This window comes from Homo sapiens, chromosome 19, assembly GCF_000001405.40.
Source record: "Homo sapiens chromosome 19, GRCh38.p14 Primary Assembly".
NCBI classification, from domain to species: domain Eukaryota; kingdom Metazoa; phylum Chordata; class Mammalia; order Primates; family Hominidae; genus Homo; species Homo sapiens.
The window spans coordinates 45,477,987-45,498,442 of NC_000019.10; the positions used below are offsets into that span (position 1 = coordinate 45,477,987).

The 20,456-nt window shown below is 51.8% G+C and overlaps 1 protein-coding gene and 1 non-coding gene across 4 annotated transcripts, besides 2 other annotated features; both read right to left on the bottom strand.

Moving 5' to 3' along the window:
* On the bottom strand, window positions 615-701 carry TRU-TCA1-1 (tRNA-SeC (anticodon TCA) 1-1). The gene has a single exon. It is a non-coding gene; the product is annotated as a tRNA-Sec (tRNA).
* RTN2 (reticulon 2) lies at window positions 7,308-19,061 on the bottom strand. Of its 3 annotated transcripts, NM_005619.5 has the most exons (11): window positions 18,806-19,061; window positions 17,109-17,153; window positions 16,540-17,019; window positions 16,180-16,434; window positions 15,174-15,392; window positions 11,360-11,567; window positions 10,862-11,000; window positions 10,651-10,720; window positions 10,485-10,531; window positions 8,069-8,127; window positions 7,308-7,803 (listed from the first exon to the last, which is right to left on the bottom strand). In NM_005619.5, the coding sequence occupies exons 1-11, from the start codon at window positions 18,837-18,839 to the stop codon at window positions 7,722-7,724; spliced, it is 1,638 nt and encodes a 545-aa protein (NP_005610.1). In that variant the 5' UTR covers window positions 18,840-19,061; the 3' UTR covers window positions 7,308-7,721. The 3 variants fall into 3 exon arrangements, with proteins under 3 accessions (NP_005610.1, NP_996783.1, NP_996784.1); NM_206900.3 differs by lacking the exon at window positions 15,174-15,392; NM_206901.3 differs by lacking the exons at window positions 16,180-16,434; window positions 16,540-17,019; window positions 17,109-17,153; window positions 18,806-19,061 and having other exon boundaries at window positions 15,174-15,267.
* Window positions 14,798-15,037: a silencer, noted in NCBI's record as "silent region_10772". NCBI's record gives its function as "represses an Ori minimal core promoter by ATAC-STARR-seq in GM12878 lymphoblastoid cells {active_cell/tissue: GM12878}" and the evidence as "EXISTENCE:reporter gene assay evidence [ECO:0000049][PMID:35858748]".
* Window positions 18,960-19,269: a silencer, noted in NCBI's record as "silent region_10773". NCBI's record gives its function as "represses an Ori minimal core promoter by ATAC-STARR-seq in GM12878 lymphoblastoid cells {active_cell/tissue: GM12878}" and the evidence as "EXISTENCE:reporter gene assay evidence [ECO:0000049][PMID:35858748]".

Here is a 20,456-nt window from a genome sequence, read left to right on the forward strand (position 1 = left end):
TAATATTCACCCCCATCCTTCAAGGGTCTGCCCTAATGTTCCCATGACACCCGACCAGCTCAGCTCTCCTTATGAGAGGGCCTCACTTTTCTATTCCCTTTGCAGCCGTTATCCCCTTTGTAGTTGTTAATTAAGTGTGTAATTACATGATGGCTTAATGTTTGTCTCCCCCACTGGGCTGACTGCACCAGGAGACCAAGGCCAGGGCTGTCACCCACCGCTGCGTCCTCAGCAAATGCTTGTTTGATGAGTGAATGACAGATGAACAAATGGGCAAGTATTTGACTGATTAATCACGGCATGCGTGATTAAATAAATGAGTGAGCAAACGACTGAATGAGTAAGCAATTGAAGGGGAGAGATCTAGGATAATTTCCAAACTGCCAATATCCCAGAACTGGGTAGATGACTTTTTCTCCGTCTTTTGGAGTGGGTTTTTATACTCCGGAGGGGGAAATAAGTAACGACAATCAGAGATCGGAGTGACAGAGAATGAGTTTGCGATGCGGAAGGCCGCAGCGACCTCTCCAGGTGCAGGCTGGAGGAGCGCCTCCCGGGCAACAAGCAAAAGAAGTCCGGTTCGATAAGTAAGATTTAAGGCGCTTAGTTACTACCGCCCGAAAGGTGGAATTGAACCACTCTGTCGCTAGACAGCTACAGGTTTGAAGCCTGCACCCCAGACCACTGAGGATCATCCGGGCAGGACAACCTTATTCCCGCGCAGCTATATAAGGATCGCAAAAGCTTACCTTTTAGAGTTATGGTCGCGTCCTTTGGAAAGGTGTGAGATGGTTGACTTCAAGGGCTATAAGTTCTCCCCACTCATTTATCGTGAGAGATGTCCTTGTAAAACGTTGCCTTCACTTCATATAGTATGAATCATCCTCGCTCCCCAAACCGTCTCATTTACATAGCGCCACGCATTCTGGGAAGCAGCGTTTGAGCACCTGGCAAGCTGTTAAAGGGCCCAGGACCCCCTTTTTCCAAAATGAAAAGTCAGCTTTTTAAGAGGAGAGATTCATGATTCGGCATTCAGAAGCGCCTTCTCGGAAAATTCCGAATTCTCTTTCTGCGGAGGAGTGGTGAGTGGGTTCCTGTTAGAGTCTGATTCACCCTGGCCCCAAAGGCTCTGAGCAGGCGGCTATAGGGCTGGTGCGACACCTGCTGTTCTTTTATGGAATTGCGTAGGCCGATGGAGCTCCGCGTTCATTCAAACGTTTATTGAGCGTCTACTGAGTCCCAGGAACTGTCTCGGTGCTGGTGACGACAGACATCCTGTCCCGATTGAGTTTAAACACTAGACATAACCAATTTCTGCACTTGCGTTTTATGGTTGGAGAAACTGAGACAGACTCAGAAACGGATAGTACCATATTCCGGTTAAAACAGCCCATCCACTTAGGGAAATCGAACTTGTGTTACAATTTTTATTACAAAAAAGGTGATTCTTTTTTCTTAAATTTTTACATATTTAGGAGGTACAGGTGCCGATTTCTACATGCATATGTTGATTGCATCGTGGTGAAATCTGGGCTTTTAGGTGTACTCATCACGAAAAATTATTCAATATTCTAAGTCAGTGATTCTTTGACAATACCATTCTCCTGCATGAAACTCTCCCATGACTTCCATTTCAGAGTAAAAGTCAAAGTACTCACCCTGCTTTACAAATCCCTGTAATCCAGCCCCTTTGGTCCCTCTGACCCTGTCTCACATACTCCTCTTCCCTTGGATATTATTGGATTTAGGCACACAGATGTCTTGCTGCACACATGGATCATGCTACCACCACAGGGACTTTGTGCTTGCCGATCCCCTAGCCTGGATCTCCTCTTCACATGTTCCCATGGCTCATCGCCTCCCTTCACTCTGTCATCTGATCAAATGTCAATACCAAAAACTCACTGAGTGACCAGCACTCAGTGGGGCCTTCCCTGATCCCAGTTTAAAATAGCGAGTGGCGGCCGGGCGCGGTAGCTCACGCCTGTAACCCCAGCACTTTGGGATGCCAAAGCGGGTGGATCACGAGATCAGGAGATGGAGACCATCCTGGCTAACACGGTGAAACCTTGTCTCTACTAAAAATACAAAACATTAGCTGGGCGTGGTGGCGGGCGCCTGTAGTCCCAGCTACTCGGGAGCCTGAGGCAGGAGAATGGAGTGAACCCGGGAGGCGGAGCTTGCAGTGAGCTGAGATTGCTCCACTGCACTCCAGCCTGGGGGACAGAGCGAGGCTCCGTCTCAATAAATAATAAATAAATAAAATAGCTAGTGGCTGGGATCGGTGGCTCAGGGCCTGTAATCCCAGAACTTTGGGAGGCCGAGGCGGGTGGATCACCTGAGGTCAGGAGTTCGAGGCCAGCCTGGCCAACATGGTGAAACCCCGTCTCCACGAATGATACAAAAATTAGTCAGGCATAGTGGCTCACGCCTGTAATCCCAGCTACTCGGGAGTTTGAGGCAGGAGAACCGCTTGAACCGGGGAGGCAGAGGTTGCAGTGAGCTGAGATGGTGCCATTGTACTCCAGCCTTGGTGAAAAGAGCAAAACTCCATCTCCAAATAAAAGTAATAATAATAATAAATAAAATAAAAATTTTTAAAAAGCGAGCTCTGTCACTCTATCCCCTTACCCTGCTAGACATTTCCCCACCACTCTGATCACCACCTGCCATTTTCTGTGTCTATTTGCTTACCGTCTGTCTGCTTCTGTAGAATATCAGCACCATGAAACTATGCACTTTATTTTTGATCATTGCTGTATCTCTAGTGCCTAAAAAGTGCTTGAGAACATAGCAGATGTTCAGTAAATGTTTGTGGAATGAATAAAAGAATATCATCACTGTCTTTTTTTCATTCTTCTTCCAGACAGGATCTTACTTTGTCACCCAGGCTGGAATGCAGTGGCGCAAAAACGGCTCACTGCAGCCTCGACCTCCCAAGCTCAAGTGATCCTCTTGCCTCAGCCTCCCTGGGATGACAGGCATATACCATCACGCCCAGCTAATTTTAATTTTTTTTGTAGAAACAGGGGCCTCACTTTGTTGCCCAGACTGGCCTCGAACTCCTGGCCTCAAGTGATGCTTCTGCCTTGGGCTCCTAAAGTGCTGGAATTTCACGCGTGAGCCACAGCACCTGGCCTCACTATCCTTCTTTCAGCCTCAGTTTTCTCATTTGTATAACCAGACTAGTACAACTGATCTCACTGGAGAAATCATGATATAAAATTCTGACACTGGCTGAGGCAACTGGGAGGAGCTCAGTAAAGGCTGTTTCTGCTGGGCACGGTGGCTCACACATGTAATCCCAGCACTTTGGGAGGCCAAGGTGGGTGGATCACAGGAGATTAGAAGTTCCAGACCATCTGGCAAGCATGGTAAAACCCCATCTCTACTAACAATTCAAAAAGTAGCCAGGCATGGTGGCTCACACCTGTGATCCCAGCTACTCGGGAGGCTAAGGCAGGAGAATCCCTTGAACCCAGGAGGCTGAGGTTGCAGTGAGCCAAGATTGTGCCACTGCACTCCATCCTGGGCGACAGAGCAAGACTCTGTCAAAAAAAAAAAAAAAAGTTTTTTTTTTTTTGGCTGGAATTACAGGCGCCTGCCCCCACACCTGGCTAATTTTTGTTTTTTGTTTTTTTAGGAGAGACGGGGTTTCACCATGTTCACCAGACTGGTCTTGAACTCCTGACCTCAGGTAATCCAACTGCCTCAGCTTCCCAAAGTGCTGAGATTACAGGCGGGAGCCACTACACCTGGCCAATAAAGGCCGTTTCAGTCTTCAATCTGTTTTGAGCTTGGAGGCTTTAGTCATTCCCAGACCCAAAATCTCAATCAGACCCTCTTCCACCACTTTTTGTGATAGATCAATAAACATTTTGTCTTATGGGAAGTTTAACTAAGAGTATCTTTAGAAAGTTTTGGACAGGCGCTGTAATCCCAGCACTTTGGGAGGCCGAGATGAGCGGATAGCTTGAGCCCAGGAGTTAGAGACAAGCCTGGGCAACATAGTGAGACTCTGTCTCAAAAAAAAAAAAAAGAAAGAAAGAAAAGAAAAAAAGAAAAAAAAAGTATTCCCTCTGCTTGGCAAATCCAGATTCAAGATATATCCCCTAAACCCTCTTTGTTTTAATTAGATAGTTGCTGCTAGGCACCTCTGTATACAAATTCTGAGGATGTAAGGACTCCTTGGAACACCGTTATCTGTCTCCTAATATGTGACGTGTGTATGACGAACAAGTGAGTTTTTTTTTTTTTTGTTTCTTTTTTTTGGTTTTTTGTTTTGAGACGCAGTCTCGCTCTGTCGCCCAGGCTGGAGTGTAGTGGCGCGATCTTGGCTCACTGCAAGCTCTGCCTCCCAGGTTCACGCCATTCTCCTGCCTCAGCCTCCCTAGTAGCTGGAACTACAGGCGCCCGCCACCACTCCCGGCTAATTTTTTTGTATTTTTAGTAGAGACGGGGTTTCACCGTGTTAGCCAGGATGGTCTCGATCTCCTGACCTCATGATCTGCCCGCCTCGGCCTCCCAAAGTGCTGGGATTACAGGCGTAAGCCACCGAGCCCGGCTTTTTTTTGAGATGGAGTTTCCCTCTTGTTGCTCAGGCTGGAGTGCAGTGGTGTGATCTCGGCTCACTGCAACTTCCGCCTCCCGGGTTCAAGCGATTTTCCTGCCTCAGCCTCCCAAGTAGCTGGGATTACAGGCATGCACCACCACGCCCGGCCAATTTTGTATTTTTAGTAGAGACATGGTTTCTCCATGTTGGTCAGGCTGGTCTCCAACTCCCGACCTCAGGTGATCCACGTGCCTTGGCCTCCTAAAGTGCTGAGATTACAGGCGTGAGCCACTGCGCCTGGCTGCACAAACATTTTAAACGTCAATATTTTTGTGTTTATTTTTACTATTGTCTTCTATTTCTGGCAAGCAATACTGGTTTCTGGTGGCAAGGTAACCTTTCTTCTTAAAATACATTTGTTATTATATTATTAAATATTAAACCAATTTTCAAGAAAAATATTAGATAAATAGCAGAACAGGTTGTAGAAAGATGAAGGTCATGTGGGGAATGACTGAGGTTTGGGAAACAATATTATAACTCCTTACTGTGCATTTATTATATGCCAGGCCCAATGCCAAGGGCTTTACATGTAGGTATAGTTATGGTTGACAGTTTTCTTCTTTTTCTTTTCTTTTTTTTTGAAACAGGGTCTTGCTCTGTCGCCCTGTCTGGAGTGCAGTGACACAATCTCAGCTCACTACAACCTCCACCTCCTTAGTTCAAGTGATTCTCCTGCCTCAGCCTCCCGTGTAGCTGGTCTTACAGGTGCCCACCACCACATCCGGTATTTTTAGTAGGGACGAGGTTTTACCATGTTGGCGAGGCTTGTCTTGAACTCCTGACCTCAGGTGATCCACCTTCCTTGGCCTCCCAAAGGCTGGGATTACAGGTGTGAGCCACTGCACCTGGCCTCTTTTTTTCTTACTTAATTTTTTTGTAGAGATGAGGTCTATGTTGCCCAAACTTGTCTCGAACTCCTGGCCTTAAGTGATCCTCCCTCCTTGGCCTTCCAAAGTGCTGGGATTGCAGACGTGAGCCATCGTGCCCGGCCTAATAAGTTTTCCATTTGAGGAAACTGAGGCTTTGAGAGATGAAGTCATATGCTCAAGGTCATACAGCGAAGGGGTAGTAGAGCCAGGATTCAAACCCAAGTCTGTGGATCTTTAGACCTCAGTGTTCTCCCAGTCTCCCCACGGGTCCCTTTGCTTCATCCTTTCCGAGTTTAGTTGTCTTTTTTGTTGTTGTTCTTGTTGTTGCTGTTTTTTGATAGAGTCTCGCCCTGTTGCCCAGGCTGGAGTGCAGCGGCATGATCCTGGCTCACTGCAACCTCTGCCTCCTGGGTTCAAGTGATTCTCCTGCCTCAGGCTCCCGAGTAGCTGGGATTACAGGTATGCGCCGCCACACCCAGCTAATTTTTGTATTTTTAGTAGAGATGGAGTTTCATCATGTTGGTCAGGCTGGTCTGGAACTCCTGACCTCAGTGATCTGCCCACCTTGGCCTCCCAAAGTGCTGGGATTACAGGCGTGAGCCACTACGCCCAGTATGTAGTTTTTTTGTGTTTTGTTTTTGTTTTTGTTTAGAGACAGGGTCTCCCTCTGTAACTCAGGCTGAAGTGCAGTGGTGTGATCATAGCTCTCTGTAACCTCGAACTCCTGGCCTCAAGCAATTTTCCTGTCTTAGCCTCCCAAGTACCTGGGACTACAGGCATGCACCACCACGCCCGGATAAATTTTTTTTTTTTTTAGAGACGGGGGTCTTGTTATGTTGCTCAGGGTGGTCTCGAACTTTTGGCCTCAAGTGATCTTCCCACATTGGCCTCCCGAAGTGTTGGGATCACAGATGTGAGTCATCATGCCAGGCCTCAGATTAGTGTTGAAACTGGAAGTCCAGGGAGGCCCTGTATTTGTTCCCGAGGCAATCAGGGTGGGGAGACGTGGGTGGATGAGAGAAGTTTGTGAGGCAGGATAGACACAGCATTGTGACTGATTGTTTGTGGGAGGTGAGTGTGTAGAAGTCCAGAGCCATACCTGGGTGTCTGGCCTGGTGACACCGTGGGCAGTGAAAACATCTCTGAGTTGGAAATCAGGTAGGATGAAGAAGACGTTTGGTTAGATTTAGGGTGGAAGGGGCATCCAGAGGCCGTTGGACACGTGGGTTTGGGCTCAGTTGAGGTGGCTGCACAGTAGGCAGGGTGTGGGATCCATTAGTGATGTCTGCCTTGAGCACAGGCATGGGAAGTGGCTGCCAAGGCTTGGCTAACCCTGGAATGGGTGGTCTGTCAGCATCTTCCCCTCAATCATTTCTTTCTTTTTTTTTTTTTTGAGACAGAATCTCGCTCTGTCGCCGAGGCTGGAGTGCAGTGGCGCAATCTTGGCTCACTACAACCTCCATCTCCCAGATTCAAGCGACTCTCATGCCTCAGCCTCCCGAGTAGCTGTGATTACAGGCATGCACCACCACACCCGGCTAAATTTTGTATTTTTAGTAGAGATGAGGTTTCACCATGTTGGCCAGGCTGGTCTTGAACTTCTGGTCTCAAGTGATCCGCCCTCCTCGGCCTCCCAAAGTGCTGGGATTACAGGCGTGAGCCACTGCGCCCGGCCTCCCCTCAATCATTTCATAACCTACACAGATGGCAGAGGGAGCTCCTTCTCCAGAGATGGGGAAGGTTCTCCTGGAGTGTCACTTAAGTGCCTTTCAGTGCAGAAAGGTGAACAACTGGAGGGTTCTGGAAGCACAAGAGGCCTCGGGTTTTCCACAGGAGTCTTTATTACAGTGTAAATCCAAGCTCAGGCCTCCCCTGGGCCCCATGCAAAGCCCCGGCGTTGGGGCTAGTAGCATCCAGGAGACACCAACGCCTCACGGCGCCTCCAGCGGCGGGTCCGGAAGTGCAGGGTGGTGCCCTGTCTAGGCAACTACAAGTCCCAGCAGGCCCCGCGGCCAAGGTGCCTCGTCTTTCCTGGACTCCTGGAGCAGAGCCTCTTGGGAAATGTAGTCCTGGTCGCTCAGGTAATTAGCGCAGAGTCCCTAGTGGGAGTGATCCTGACACCCACCGGGAAAAGGCTCGGGCCGAGGAGGGGGGTGGGTGGGAACGGACAAGAGATGGAGGGGGCCAGAGGGCTGCGGGGGCTGGGGGCAGGCGTCCTGCGGGCAGAGACACCGTTCTCATTCGGCTTTGGCTTTGGATCCGGAGACTGCGGCTGCTGCAGAGGCCAGGGCTCCGGTCCCTGGGATTTTAGCTCGGATCCTGAAGGAGAAACAGGTGGGATCACGAGGTGGGGCAAGAGACGCGGGGTGGGCATCTGGGGACAACGGGGAAAGCTGGGTGGGAAACTGACCAAGAGCCCGAAGCCAGCTCCTGCCCTCCACCTAGTGGCCTACATTGGAATTGCCTCCTCAGCCTTTTCAAGGGGACATTACCCCAGGAGATTTGCGGACAGCGAGAGTAGAAAGGAAAGGTTCCCAAGCTCCCCCACTTCCCCCTCCCATCGACCTCCGCCCCATGCTCTTACTTAGCTTTGATGTGGCTCAACTGATTGGTCACCAACCCCACATATTGGTCGATCTGAGCCTGGGGAGACCAAAGAAAGGTGAAAGAAGGGATTGGAGGGGTTTCTTCTCTTTAGTCACATAGGAGGCTGCTTCCTCCCCAACCTCCAAATTAGGAGTTGTGAAGAGTGGCCCACCACGCCACCCCCGGCTCTAAACTTCATAGAATACATTAGATGCCAGAGATGCCAGTTATAGGGTCAGTGAGTTGGGCCATACTCTGTATGGAGAGTGATGTCAGGTGGAACGCACAAGTATCTGGCAGTGAGGCCGTGTCCTGGGCACGATGGTTAATCTTTGAGTGAGTTTGCATACGTGTGTGTTGTGGGGTAGGGTGAGAACAGAAGGCACTGGCATTGGTCACCGAGTCCCTGAGTGGATTGATTTATATACTCGTGTTTTTTAAAAAATTATTTATTTATTTGTATTTATTTTTTTGAGACAGGGTCTCGCTCTGTCACCCAGCCTGGAGTGCAGTGGCATGATCTCGGTTCTCTGCAACCTCAGCCTCCTGAGTTCAAGCGATTCTCCTGCCTCAGCCTCCCGAATAGCTGGGATTACAGGTGTGCACCAACATGCCCGGCTAATTTTTGGATTATTTATTTATTTTTTTCTTGTTCTTTTTTTTTTCTTTTTCTTTCTTTCTTTTTTTTTTTTTCCTGAGACGGAGTCTTGTTCTGTGGCCCAGGCTGGACTGCAGTGGTGCAATCTCAGCTCACTGCCACCACTGCCTCCCGGGTTCAAGCGATTCTCCTGCCTCAGCCTCCCGAGTAGCTGGGATTACAGGTGGACACCACCAAGCCTTGCTAATTTTTGGATTTTTAATACAGACAGGGTTTTACCATGTTGGCCAGGCTGGTCTCGAACTCCTGACCTCAAGTGATCCGCCTGCCTCAGCCTCCCAAAGCTGGGATCACAAGCGTGAGCCACCATGCCCAGCCTTTTTTTTTTTTTTTTTTTTTTTTTTTTTAGATAGGGTCTTGCTCTGTTGCCCAGGCTGGAGTGCAGTGGCATGATCACAGCTCACTGCAGCCTCTACCTCCTAGGGTTCAACTCATCCTCTTGCTTCAGCTTTCAGAGTAACTGGGACTATAGGTGTGTGCCACCACACCTGGCTAGTTTTTAACCTTTTTGTAGAGATGGGGGTCTTACTATGTTGCCGAGGCTGGTCTTGAACTTCTGGCCTCAAGCAATTCTCCTGTCTCAACCTCCCAAAGTGCCGGGATTACAGTTGTGAGCCACTGTGCCTGGCCTGATTTAAATACAGTTTAATTGTGAGTCTTGGTGATTCCAGCCTGTGAAGGACAGAGTTAGGACTAACTGGCAGGGCATATTATCATGTGGCTCCCAGCTGTGCTGGAGAAGGGGCTGTCAGTCCATCCGCCTGTCTCTGGATAGGATGGATGTCAGCAGTCCTGCTAATGTCAGTCTTGTGGGCAACAGCCATCCCACTCTTGATTTTATTTTTATGTTTTTATTTTTTATTTTTTGGTTTTTTTTTTTTTTTTTTTTGAGACAGACTCTTGCTCTGTCACCCAGGCTGGAATGCAGTAGCATTTAACTGACATGTCAGTTAAAATCAAGAGTGAAGGCCAATCTCAGCACTTTGGGAGGCCAACGCGGGCAGATCACCTGAGGTCGGGAGTTGGAGACCAGCCTGGCCAGCATGGTGAAACCCGGTCTCTACTAAAAATACAAAAAATTAGCCAGGCATGGTGGCAGGCACCTGTGATCCCAGCTACTCGGGAAGCTGAGGCAGGAGAATCGCTTGAACCTGGGAGGCAGAGGCTGCAGTGAGCCAAGATCGTGCCACTGCACTCCAGTCTGGGCAACAGAGCGAGACTCCATCTCAAAAAAAAAAAAAAAAAAAGGCAGCAAAGGCTAGGCACAGTGGCTCACGCCTGTAATCCCAGCACTTTGGGAGGCCAAGGTGGGCAGATCACTTGAGGTTAGGAGTTTGAGACCAGCCTGGCCAGCATGGCAAAACTCCGTCTCTGCTAAAAATACAAAAATTAGCCGGGCACGGTGGCCATATGCCTGTAATCCCAGCTACTCAGAGATTGAGGCAGGAGACTTGCTTGAGCCCAGGAAACGGAGGTTGCAGTGAGCCGAGATCACACCACTGCACTCCAGCCTGGGCAACAGAGCAAGACTCTGTCTCAAAGAAAACCCAAAACAAAACAAAAACAAACAAAAAGCCTGTCCCTGGCTGATGCTGATAAGACATGTTACTTAGACTCTGGTTGTATTGGGAAGGTGCTGCAGCCAGGACACCTGTGTCTGGCCGGGACATCTGTCAATGGGACCCCGGTTCTGGAAGGAGATGGTCAGACCCCCATGTTTAGCTGGGGTGCTGACAACTGAGGGTGTCACACTCACCTGGTGCTGCCGGTACAGCAGGGGGATGGTGAATAGACCAATCACTCCTGTGGGTACAGAGATGGGGGCGTCAGGGTGTTCCCAAGAGATGAACAGTTCCATCTGGAGCCCTGTCCCCCACCAGACTCCAAGTCCCCATTTGCCCCTTACGGCCTTCCCAGCTCACCCAGAATGAGAAGAGTCAAACCATTGAAGATGGCACCCACGAAGGTCAAGATGTAGAAGAGGAGGGCCAGCTGGGGGTGAAGGTCAGGGTCAGCAGAGCCCACCGGGAATTCCCTCTCATGCTGTGAATTTACCCAACAGTCGCCCTCCCACCCCCTAGCCATGCAGAGGTGAATGGGGGAACCCAGGAGGGGCTGAGAGCTCCAGGCCACCTTGAGGGAATCCACGAGGTCTTCTACCAGGAAGAAGTGCCGCAGCTGCGTGGCCGCCGAGACCACGCGGGAGGTGATCTGGTGGGACAAACGTTCCGTCTGCTCCCGAGTCAGGGTGAGGTCCACATCCAGGTAGGCCCTGCGGGGACAAAGGAGTGTGGGGCGACTCAGTGGGTGACCAGCTCAGACTGGTGCAGGGGCAGCTGAAACAAGGGAGAGGAATGGCGGTTGGGAGAAGACCAGAGTTAGGACTGAGGGGCAGCTCAGAGGAATCATATGTAGAGGGCTGGGGTCAGGGTCAGGGTCAGGGGAAGGGATCGAGGATGAAGGGTACCAGGTTAGGATCAGAGATTAGGATTGAAGGGTAGGTTAGGGGATCGGGATGAAAAATGATCAAGATGAGTCGGGGTCCGGGTGGGAGTCGGTGCCTGATTTGAGGTCGTGGGTCATGCTTTAGGGTCAGGACAGGGGCTCAGGTCAGGGGCCGGGGGTTCTCACTGGAAAGGGTTGGCTCCATCCCCCCGGTGCACGGCCTGCAGCACTTTGCGGTAAACCCTGAGAGAGATGGTGCCGCAGAGCAGCAACAGAGCCAAGTGCGCGGCCACGGACACGATGCTAAAGTGCAGGAGGCAGAGGAGGGAGACCATCAGGCCTGTGAAGACCACTCCTGACGTCCTCGTGTCCTTCCAGTACAGCAGGTCCGCCACTGTGGAGGGGTGGGGGGCATCAGGGCTTGTACCTGACCTGGCTGGTCTCCTCACCTCCCTTTCCCTGTCCTACAGCTGAAAATGACTTCTCGACACACCTGTTTGAGCATAACCTGATTTCCTTTTTTTTTTTTTTTTTTTGAGAGACAGGGTCTCACTCTGTCACCCAGGCTGGAGGCAGTGGTGCAATCATAGCTCACTGCAGCCTCGATCTCCTGGGCTCAAGTGATCCTCCCACGTCAGCCTCCTCAGTAGCTGGGACTACAGGTGTGCACCACCACTCAGCTAATTTTTGTTTTTGTTTCTGTTTTTAGAGGTAGGTGGCTCTCACTGTGTTGCCCAGGCTAGTCTCGAACTCCTGGCCTCAAGTTATCCTCCTGCATCAGCCCTCCAAAGTGCTGGGATTATACGTGTGAGGCACAGCACACAGCCCGATTTGCAATTTTTTAAAAATTATTTTATTTTATTTTTATTTTTTTCTCTATTGCCCAGGCTGGAGTGCAGTGGCGCAATCACGACTCACTGCAACCTCCGCCTCCCTGGTTCAAGCGATTCTCCTGCCTCAGCCTTCTAAGTAGCTGGGATTACAGGCATGTGCCACCATTCCCGGCTAATTTTTGTATTTTTAGTAGAGACGGGGTTTCACCATGTTGGTCAGGCTGGTCTCGAACTCCTGACCTCGTGGTCCACCCGCCTTGGCCTCCCAAAGTGCTGGGATTACAGGCATGTGCTACCGCGCCTGGCCTTAATTCATTATTTTAAAGAGCTGCATAGTATTCTGTGTTGTGGCTGTGCTCCTGTGCTCTCATTCATTTTATTTAACCATGTACCTATTGCTGGGTCATTCAGTTTGTTTCCTAACCCCTTCACCGCAAGCAGGGCTGCAAGCAACATCCTCCAACAGATATTCTCACCTCCTGGAGTGACTATTTCTGAGACAGATTCCCAGGGTGGAATTGCTGGGTGGACTGGTTGTGTGTCTGTGTGTGTGTGTGTGTGTGTGTGTGTGTGTGTGTTTTGTTTTTGTTTTTATTTTTTTTGAGACGGATTCTCGCTCTATTGCCTAGGCTGGAGTGCAATGGCACAATCTTGGCTCACTGCAACCTCCGCTTCCTGGGTTCAAGCAATTCTCCTGCCTCAGCCTCCTGAGTAGCTGAGATTACAGGAGGGCTCCACCACACCCGGCTAATTTTTTATATTTTGGTAGAGATGGGGTTTCACCATGTTGGCCAGGCTGGTCTCGAACTCCTGACCTCAAGTAATCCTCCCACCTCGGCCTCCCAAAGTGTTGGGATTACAAGCGTGAGACACCACGCCTGACCTTGGTTTGTTTGTTTGTTTTTTTTTTTGAGACAGAGTTTCGCTCTTGTTGCCCAGGCTGGAGTGCAATTGTGCAATCTCGGCTCACTGCAACCTCCACCTCCCGGGTTCAAGCGATTCTCCTGCCTCAGCCTCCCGAGTAGCTGGGATTACAGGCATGTGCCATCATGCCTGGCTAATTTTTTGTTATTTTTAGTTAGAGATGGGGTTTCACCGTGTTAGCCAGGATGGTCTTGATCTCCTGACCTCAGGTGATCCACCCACCTTGGCCTCCAAAAGTGCTGGGATTACAGGCGTGAGCCACCACGCCCGGCCACATTTTTTTTTTTTTTATTTTTAGAGGCAGAGTCTCACTCTGTCACCCTGGCTGGAGTGCAGTGGCGTGATCATGGCTCACTACAGCCTCTACCTCCCAGAGTCAAGCAAACCTCCTACCTCGGCCTCCTAGCAGCTGGGACTACAGGTGGCACCACGATATCGTGCTAATTTTTTTTTTTTTTTTTTTGGACAAAGTCTTCCTCTGTCACCCAGGCTGGAGTACAGTGGCATGATCTCAGCTCACTGCAGCCTCTGCCTCCCGAGTTCAAGAGATTCTTGTGCCTCAGCCTCCCAACTAGCTGGGATCACAGGCATGAGCTGCCATGCCTGGCCTGGCTAATTTTTTTTTTTTTTTTTGAGGCAGAATCTCGCTCTGTTGCCCAAGCTGGAGTGCAGTGGCGCGATCTCAGCTCACTGCAAGCTCTGCCTCCCGGGTTCACGCCATTCTCCTGCCTCAGCCTCCCGAGTAGCTGGGACTACAGGCGCCCGTCACCATGCCCGGCTAATTTTTTGTATTTTAGTAGAGACGGGGTTTCACCATGTTAGCCAGGATGGTCTCGATCTCCTGACCTTGTGATCTGCCCACCTCGACCTCCTAAACCTGGCTAATTTTTAAATGTTTTGTAGAGATAGGGTCTCGCTATGTTGCCCAGGTTGAATTCCTGGCTTCAAGTGATCCTCCCACCTCGGCCTCCCAAAGTGTTGGGATTACAGGCATGAGCCACCGCGCTCGGTCATATATATTTTTTTAATGTCATAAATTTTGAAACACTGCTTACTAGTAAGACCATAACAGTTCTTATTTCCACAAGAAGCAAGAGAAAGATCTTTTCCCAGCATCCTGCCCTGCAGTGGGTTGCAGTTCTTTTTAACTTTTGCCAATCTGTCAGGTGTAAAGTGATATCCCCTTGATACCCTTAGCAACACATGTTTCTAAGTCCTAAATGTATTAATCACGCCATACTCCTTTCCAGGGCCTAACTCAAATTTCTGACCCCTTTCTGAGACCCTAAAACACACCTCCTAAACCCAACCTCAGCCCTGACCAGTGACCTTTGTACCCCAACCTTCATCTCATCTGTCTAAACTTTAGGCTCACTCCTGTAATCACAACACTTTGGGAGGCCGAGGCGGGAGGATCACCTGAGGCCTGGACAACATAGTGAGACCCTGTCTCTACAAACAAAATAAGAAAATTAGCAGGGCGTGGTGGCCTGTGGCTCTAGTCCCAACTACTTGGGAGGCTGAGGTGGGAGGATCACTTGTGCCCAGGTGTTGGAGGCTGCAGTGAGCTATGATCCCACCACTGCACTCCAGAAAGGGCGACAGAGGGAGACTCTGTGGCTTAAAAAGAAAAAGAAACTTTAGTAATCTGCTTTCCTTTGAGTCCTGAAAACCAGGAACTCAGTACCTTTCTATTTCTTTCCAGATCCTCTCTATCCTCCCACACTCCCTCCAACTGACCCCTCCGACCGGTCCCTCTTAGAGGCTCACCCCTCACTTCCGTCTCCTTCCAATGCATCTCCTCTCATTTACCTCCAAATAGGGCAGCCCCTCCCTCCCCATAGCAGGGCCCTCCCAGGCAGGCTCCTAGTGGCCGGCGCCGGTGGATGGGGGAGGGGCCAGGTCGCCTGAGGCGGGGGCTAAGTTTAGGCACGCTGGGGGGAGGGGGCCTCCCCGCAGCTGTTCTGGCCCGTCTGGCCCCTGAGTGACAGCGCTGCCTGGGGCCGAGGCTGGGGGAGGGGGTCCTCCCTGCTCCTGGGCCCCAAAGTGCTGGCTCGAAGGAGAAGGGACCCCATGCTCCCTCTGGGTCCTCCCTATACTGCCCCTCGGCCCCCTAGCCCCAGCCTGCAGCGCTGCGGAAGCAGATCAGTAATAAAAATGCTCCGGATGTGCAGGAGATAAGGGCGAGTTTGGACCCCGTTCCGCCGACCTCAGCCCCCGTCCAGCCCGTTCCGCAAGCCCACCTTTACTCCCCATATCGGCTCCGAGTGAGAGGCTGGGGACACCGCTGCTTCTCGGGGATTTTGCCCACTTCAGTAGAACCCGGAGGACAGGAGTAGGGGGGGTGGGGCCCCTTTGGACCCAGCCAATGGCTGTCCACAGAGGTGGGGACAATTCCAAAATTGGAACCGTCTTGTAAACAGCCAAAAGCAATGATGTCTTTAACCATTCCATAGCTGTTCCTGGAGGCGGAGCATATTTTAAAGTAAGGCTGGGTCATTTTACAACTGGCCAATAGATGTGGTCAGGAAAAAGAGGGTTTTTGTTTGTTTTTTCAAATAGAGATCGAGTCTCCCTATGTTGCCCAGGCTGGTCTTGCACTCTTGGCTTCAAAGGATCCTCCCGCCTCGGCCTCCCAAAGTGTTTAGGATTACAGGCATGAGCCACTGCGCCCGGCCAAAAAGAAGAGTTTTTAAAAGGCACAGAGTTTACTTATAAATATTCTACGGCCACATCTAAATAAGGAGAGAACTGTATTTTTTCAGGGATTTGGCCTGTCCAAAATCAGCCACTAGGAGGAGCACTCCAGAAGAGGGAGGATTATTTTATTTTATTTTTATTTTTTGAGACGGAGTCTCGCTCTGTCGCCCAGGCTGGAGTGCAGTGGCGCGATCTTGGCTCACTGCAACCTCTGCCTTCCAGGTTCAAGCGATTCTCCTGCCTCAGCCTCCCGAGTACAGACGGGGTTTCACCATGTTGGCCAGGCTGATCTCGAACTCCTCACCTCAAGTGATCCGCCCGCCTCGGCCTCCCAAAGGGCTGGGATTACAGGCATGAGCCACCGCGCCCGGCCGGGGAAATTTTTTTAAAAAGCGGAGTTTATCACGTCTAGCCAGATGTGATATCACGTCTATCTCTTCCCTTTTCCACTATGTACTGTTCCTTTGCGAGGTTGGTCCCTTTAATTCAAAATCCTCTCACCTTTTGCCTTCTGTGGGCCAATGCAGCATCTTCATACACGTTGCTTACCTAGAAGGCGTGGCTCCACCGTGAATTCTAATTGGTCCGTGCTATCGAGGCACTGTCCCCTTACTGGCTCTCGCTCCAGTGGCCCCCACTGCTTTTCTTCCTCTTCCAGCAATGGCTCTTCGGGCCCAGAGTTCGAATCTCGCGATCGGGATGGGGACGGAGTACCGGCCTGGGGTGTCCCAGAGCCCGGACTGAGCTGGGGAGTCAAGACCTCGGGCGATGAGGGCTGAGCAAGTCGGAGTCGTAGGTCCAGTTCTGATACGGTAGAGAGAGGAGGCCGTGAGCTTTCTTCTTGGAGGTGCCCCAAGGAGAAACCACCCACCCCTCTTGGCTTTGGTCCCAGCACCTCGGACATCTCACCTTCCCCAGCTTCTCCTGTCTCCAATCTGTTGGGTTCTTGGGGTTCTTCGTCTTCCAGCGGGGTGGAGCTGCTGGTGGAAGAGTCCTCCCCGGATCCCGTTCCCCGGGCCACCCAGCCCAGATGGTCCAACCGAAGCCTCAGGTCTTCCAGAGGGCGCTCGGATGGAGGCGCGGTGTCAGGATCACCCCGTCGTCCAGGCTCCGGGGATTGGCTCAGGCTGGGGATGCTCTCCAAGCTGTCGCCCAGGCTGGGCTGAGGGTGCTGGTCTCGTGGTTCCGAGACTGAGCGGCCCTGGGGGCGGGGGCGGCGGGCAGTTGAATCCCTGCGGCCCCCGGAGCCCACTACACCATCAAAGGCGATGTAGGAGAAGGTCAGCTCCCGGGGGGTGCCCCAGTCCTGCGACGTGGTCTCCTCCTCGTCCTCCTCTGAGAATTCCCGGGCTGTGTGCAGCTCTCGAAAATCAGAGTCGTCGTTCCCTCCTGCAGTGGGTGAAGGAGAGCCTTGTTTCCCTCAGCAGGTCCCTGAGCTGCCCAGCCCTGAGCCCCTTCACATGCTCCCCACCACTTACCTTCTGTGGAATCAGGAGTTGAGGAGGCTGTAGACGGAGCTTCTTCTGCGAGAGGGAAAGAATCGAAGACTCTTAGAAGCTTAGACTGTCCGAATCACAGAAGTGTCCCAGTCCTGGAATCTTAGAATATTTGAATCACGGGATTTTTAGAACATTCTGCACACAGACTCTAAAACCTAGCATCACTGCCTGATGAAGCTCAGAGTCTTTGAAGTCCAAATCCAGGAATCTTAATCTTAGAGTCTTCAAAGTAGGAATCTTAGGAGGTTTCAATTCATTCATTCGTTCAACAACCACTTATTGAGCACCTACTATGTGCCAGGCACTGTTCTAGGTCCTGGGGATACAGCTGTGAAGAAAACAGACAAAATCCCTGCCCTCCTAGAGCTGACACTCTTTGGGATAGACAAACAATAAACAAGTGAATATATGACGTCGGGTGCAGATGAGCATAGGGAGCAAAGTAAAGAAGGGTAGGGGAAGAGAAAGTGAAGGGGTGCTGTTTCTCATAGGGTGGTCAAGAAGGCTTCTCTGATAAGATGACGTTTGAGCAGAGATCTGAAGGAAGTGAGGAAGCCATGCAGATGTTCAGGGACGTCTTCCAGGTAGAGAAGAAAGCCAGTGCAAAGGCCCTGAGCCAGGCACCATGCTTGGCATCTGAGGAACTGAGAGGTGCGAAGATATGACTGGAGAAGAGTGACTGAGGAGGAGAGGAGTGGGAGGTGAGAACAGAGAGGTAAGGGCGGTGGGGAGAGACAGACGAGGTGGTCCTCCCTTTGTAATCTGAAGTTAACGACAAGATCATAGAATGTTGGGATGATACTCGAAAATGCTGAAATCACCAATTCTTAGAATTTTGGCATCTGGACACGCGAGACATGGAAATGGCTAGATCTAAGGGTGTTGAAATCCCCAGCTGTCAGAACCCCCATGTGTGGGACAGAGAACGGTAGACATGGACTGTTATAGCTGTGAGCTCAGAGATTGTGAGGCTAGGCGTTTTCAGCTGGGAATCCAGCCCCTTAGAGCTAGTTCAGAGCTTTGCACATAGATGATGCTCAATGCGGTTTGGAAATTGAAATCTGACGCCCTGTGCCCTCACCTCGTTTCCTCAGCTGGGGAATAGGAGGCCTGGAATGGTGTGGGTCTTCCCCAGGATTACCATTAACCAGTGGTAAAGACCGCTAAGAACCCATGAGTCCTTGCCCCCAAACCACGGATGGCTGTTTTCCCGGGACAGGGTTGGACAGTTTGGGCGAGGTCGGGGCTGCCTCTTGGACAGAAAACGGGGATGGGATGCGAAGGCAAGTGATTGGGAGCCAGACCCCTGTTTTCCATCCTGGCTCTACCCTCCGTTCAACCCCCTCCCCGCCAGCTGCGGCCAGCACCAGAGCCAGGGGACAGCTCCCCGCGCGCGTCCTCGCTCCCGGGCGGGGCCGGGCGGTACGTCCCAGAGCGCAGCGCGCCCCCCGCCTGCTGTCTCAGTGCCCCCTCACCTCCGCCCTGTTTCGTCCAGGTCCTCCGGGTCAGGCTACCCCCGTCGCCGCCAGAGCGCGGGGGAGGGGAGAGCTTCCTTTGTCTCCTATGCCTCCTCCCCCCATCCCGGCTCTCCTGCGGGCAAGCGCCGAGGGGACACCGGGGAGTACCCCACCTGAACCTCTGGGGCCCACACCAGGCCCCAGTCTTCCTCTACTCACTGCAGTGGGCGAAGACCGGCAGGACCTGCCCCATGGCCCCCCTCGGGCCTGCATCGGGACCCCCGCCCACTCCGGCTGTGCCGCCCTGGGCCCGGGGTCGCGGGCGCTCATCTCCGCCGCGCCCACGACGCCGCTGCCATTCTCGCCGCCTCCTCCTCCCGGGCTGCTCCAGCCGCCGCCGCCGCCGCCGCCGCCGCCGCCGCCCTGGTGCTCGGCTCGGCGGGGGCGGGCGGGGCCGAGGTGGGGAAGGCACTGCAGCGCGCGGCCGGGGGCGGGGCCAGAAGACGGGCGGGGCGGTACCAGAGGGAGGGTGAGGGGCGGGGAAACGCCGAGGATCAGGCGGAGGGGCGTGGCCTTCTTACTAAAGGGGCGGAACCAAGAGGGTGGGCTACGGAGCCAGGAAGGAGGGGAAAGCGGCCTGAAGGGCGGGGCCTAGATCGCAGAGGGCGCAGCCTTTAGGGGAAGAGGGAAGGAGGCCTGGAGTCTGGCGAGGGACTTGGGAGAGGATGGTGAACGAGCCACGGCAGAGAGGATGAGAGCGTGGATCCCTGGGTGGGTTGGGGTGGTGCTCGGGGTGCCATTGAGGAGGGGGTGGAAAGATTCTAATGCTCTGAGGTAGGGTCCGAGCCTAGATTTGCAGAGGGAGCGAGAAAGGGGGCCGAATGAAACGATTCAGAAACTTTTGGGGCACGCGGAGGAGCTCAAACGTGGGCAGGGCTAAAGCAACAGGGAATTATTCAAATATAACTGGGTGGGGTCGGATTCCAGGCGATTCCAGGTCTGCGAAAATTAGAAGGGTCTGGAGCTGTGTGCCTGAATCCTGGATGGGCGGGGCCTGGAAGAGAAAATAAGCGAAGCCCCAGAGGGGAGGGGTCGAACTAAAAACAGTAAAGAAAAAAAAAATATGTATATATATATATATATATATATATATATATATATATATATATCTTTTTGAGACAGGGTCTCGCTCTGTTGCCCAGGCTGGAGTGCAGTGATACGATCACGGCTCACTGCAGCCTCGACCTCCCGGGCTCAGGTGATCCTCCCACCTAAGCCTCCTGAGTAGCTGGGATCACAGGTGTGTTCCACCGCGCCTGGCTAAATGTTAATTTTTGTAGAGACGGGGTCTCGCTATGTTTCCCAGGCTGGTCTCAAACTCCTGGGCTTAAGCGATCCGCCTGCCTCGGCCTCCCTAAGTGCTGGGGTTATAGGCGTGAGCCACCGCGCCCGGCCAAGTATGGTATTTACAGGTTTTGAGGCTGGGGGCTGTACCACTGAGGTGGGAGGAGCTTGGACTGAGTGTTGTGTTGAGAACACAGATTCTAGAATTAGTTTCCCTGGAACACCGGTTACTTCTGTGACTCTGTTTCTTCTTCCATATGTAAACTGGAGATGATGATGTATAACAGTGTGTGACACATTAGTACTATGTAATAGTTTGCCACTGGTACAGTATTATCTTTTTTCTTTTTTTTTCCTGATTCAGATCCCAAACCCCGCTTTGTAGGTGCAGGAAACAGGAGACCCAGAAGTGTAATTCCTTCTAGTGACCCGCCTAAAGAGCAGGTCAAAGGACAGGAAGGAGATTTAGATGGTTTAAAATCTCACAGCGGAGGGGATTAATGGAGGGGGCGGGCAGGTGTACAGG